At 41.7% G+C, this 3,409-nt stretch overlaps 1 annotated feature.

The window, feature by feature from the left end:
• Window positions 2,330–2,624: a silencer, noted in NCBI's record as "tiled region #101; HepG2 Repressive non-DNase unmatched - State 24:Quies". NCBI's record gives its function as "represses a minimal TATA promoter and a strong SV40 promoter by Sharpr-MPRA in HepG2 cells {active_cell/tissue: HepG2}" and the evidence as "EXISTENCE:reporter gene assay evidence [ECO:0000049][PMID:27701403]".

Here is a 3,409-nt window from a genome sequence, read left to right as displayed (position 1 = left end):
TACAAAGTAAATGCTATATAGATAGTAATTAAGCTATATCATTTAAGAAATAATGACAAAGAAAAATGTCTGCACACATTTATTAAAAACACTTTTTTTTTTTTTTGAGACGGAGTTTCGCTCTTGTCACCCAGTCTGGAGTGCAATGGCAAGGTCTCAGCTCACTGCAACCTCCGCCTCCCGTGTTCAAGCGATTCTCGTGCCTCAGCCTCCCAAGTAGCTGGGATTACAGGTGCCCACCACCATGCCCAGCTGATTTTTGTATTTTTAGTAGAGACAGGGTTTCACCATGTTGGCCAGTCTGGTCTCGAACTCCTGACCTCGTGATCCATCCGCCTTGGCATCCCAGAGTGTTGGGATTACAGGAGTGAGCCACTGCACTTGGCCACAATACAATTTTTAAAAATAATATTTTTAAATCATGTTTGATTGAATCCATGGAGGTGAAACCCAGGTATACATAGGGCCAACGATAGTACAAATTAATCAAACTAAGACAACATTCATTTATTATCTGGGATTCTGTAGGTCTGGAGTCTGGGCACAGCTTACCTTCATTCTTTGGCTCAGGGTTTCAAGGCCAGGAGCATTTCTTTATAGAGTTTGGGTTCCTCTCGCGAGCTCACGTGTTATTGGGAGAATTCAATTCCGTTGTAGGTCTTTGGTTTTTTTTTTTTTTTTGAGACGGAGTCTCGCCGTGTCGCTCAGGAGGGAGTGCAGTGGTGCCATCTCGGCTCACTGCAAGCTCCGCCTCCCGGTTTCACACCATTCTCCTGCCTCAGCTGCCACCGGAGTAGCTAAGACTACAGGTACCCACCACCACGCCCGGCTAATTTTTTATATTTTTGGTAGAGACACGGTTTCACCGTGTTAGCCAGGATGGTCTCAATGTCCTGACCTCGTGATCCACCCGCCTCGGCCTCCCAAAGTGCTGGGATTACAGGCGTGAGCCACTGCGCCCGGCCGGTCTTTGTTTTCTTTCTAGCTGTGATCCAGGACTAATCTCAATGCCTCACCACCTGGCTTTCCCAGAGGGTTTCTCACAATACGACCCCTTCTTCCCAATCATCAGGAGAATCTTTTCAGGAAAGGCCCAGTCCTTTTTGTAAAGGCTTTCACTTAATTAATTCAAGTCCAGCAGGATAATAACCCTTCTGATAAACTCAAAATAAATTGATTTCGGATCTTAATTATATCTGCAAAATCCATTCATCTTGGCATATAAGTTAACCTAACCATGGGGTAATAGCTCATCATATTCAGAGATCCTGTCTGCGTTCAGGGAGTGAGAGTTACACAGAGTACGCACACCAGGGAGTGGGAATCTTGGGGGGCATTATAGAATTCTGCCTGCCACAGTAACTTTTGGGGTTTTCCACATTTCTACCAAAACCCTATAAAATTTCAGAAATTAAAATAAGTAAATTTGATTTTAATAGTCCATTCAGAAACATGAAACTTTTGGTGACATGCATATATACAGGCATGTATATATACATTGTCTTATTACAATTTAAAAATAGATAAAATATATATTCAATCATTATTATTTTAAAGTGTGGTCATAGCCACACCCTTTTAAAAAATTTTTGTATGTATGTATGTATTTTGCATGCTTTGTATGAATGTATGTATTTTGCACAAATCTAAAGTATTAGTGAAAGTTCTGCTGCAGTGTTCACAAAGGTACCCACATGCATTTCCAGTGCCTTAGCAATATCCCCCAAGGAGCTACTACCATCGTTTTTTGCAACTTACTGGAGCTGTTACAATGTCAATCACGTGTCTCATATACTTCCACAGAGAGAATAATGGCCCCGCAGGAGTCATTACTGTGTCAACGCGGGTGCCTGAGCCTTTATGGTGTCAACAGATATGCTACGTTAATGTCAGTGGAATGGCCTCACGCAAGTTCTACTGCTATCATAAAAATAAAGGAAAAGAAACCCAAAAAGCAGGTTATTATCTGATAAGGAATCTAAATTAAACCCTCCAAAGCAGAGTAAGGCTCCCCAGAGACTCACAGTTTGTCCTTAACCATACCTCATTCAGCTCTTTTTGGAATGCGGTAAGCACAATAGTGTTTCCAGGAAGGAAGTACCGATATCTGCTACTTTAAAACAGTTCCAAGTCTTGAGAGGCAGCCCTCTTAGTTAAAAAACAAAACAAAACAAAAACAAAACAAAACAAAAAAACCCACTCTGGCCAACTAGTCTATCAGATATTTTGATAGCCCCTACATTAAGAGAATTGACAATTGTTTTGTACTGACGCACTGCTTGCCTGTCTGGTGTAAATTCTGAAATTAAAACCCAATATAGTGTGCTGTTTTGATAGCTGATGAAATGGGGACAGCCTCAAAGGGCCTATGTGAAAGACCTTCACCCACTGTGCTTTTGTGCATAAGGTCACCTAGCCAAACAACCATCCCCCGATGCTGAGGACTAGGAATGTGCTCATTTATCCCTGAGGAGAAGCTTCAGTTTTCTGCCAGCCTGTGAAATTATTCAAGCAAGACAATTACATTCTTTCTTGAAAACTGGGATGCACCTTACCTCCTTGTAACTACAGTGTTTGCCTCCCAGAGTCCGGGTAGTTCACTCTGTTCTTGAATGGAACCACCGTTTAGCCCTATGTGGTGCAGAGTGCTCCTTCCCTGGGCTGTGAGTCTATGTGAGTTTCTCATAAACAGAGAGCACTTTATGTGAGACTATAAACTGCTCCTGTTCTCATCTGTCCGGTTCCAGCTGCTGTATGTTCAACCATCGCCTTAAGCCTAGGGTGGGAAATTCTTCCTCGACACTGGGGTAAAGAGGAGGTAACCAAAACAATTTATTATCCTGTGATTCCATAATTATGCCCACTGCCACTCTGTTTTTTTGTTGATTCTCGTCCACTTTTATTCTAGATCTTTGCTAAATCTTTGGAGTTCAAAAGAAATCTTTGATTTCAGACCCGATGATTTTAGTGATTTCTTCCCTAATCATCCCTCAGCGTATGGACTGAACTATACAGTACAACTATGACAATTGTTTTTTTAGTTTGATTGTAAAGGTTATTTCTAAAGATGCACCATGATTACACATGCATGTTTCATAAAGTCCTGCTCATTGTTCTTTTCTCTGTCACCTTGCCCTCGCCATGCTCACTCCAGGCAATAAAGATATATTTTAGCTTTACAATGCAACACAGTTATGCTATAGGAGGCAAACAGCGTGTGCAAGACAGAGCTCTGTTGTTTTTATGCTGCATTAGCCAGAATACAGCAGGCAACACATGTAAATGCAACTGGACACCTTTCTTGGTGGTAGAAGAAGGAAAGAGATCTGGTGTTAAAGTGGGCAGAAATATAAGGAGTTAGTGGTCAGAAAGCCGAGGAAAGAACATGTTTTGGCCATCTTGTAAAGCA

Source organism: Homo sapiens, chromosome 16 (assembly GCF_000001405.40).
Source record: "Homo sapiens chromosome 16, GRCh38.p14 Primary Assembly".
In the NCBI taxonomy this organism is placed as follows: Eukaryota; Metazoa; Chordata; class Mammalia; order Primates; family Hominidae; genus Homo; species Homo sapiens.
The sequence above is the reverse complement of the archived record's forward strand: the minus strand, read 5'-3'. Positions and strand labels throughout refer to the sequence as shown.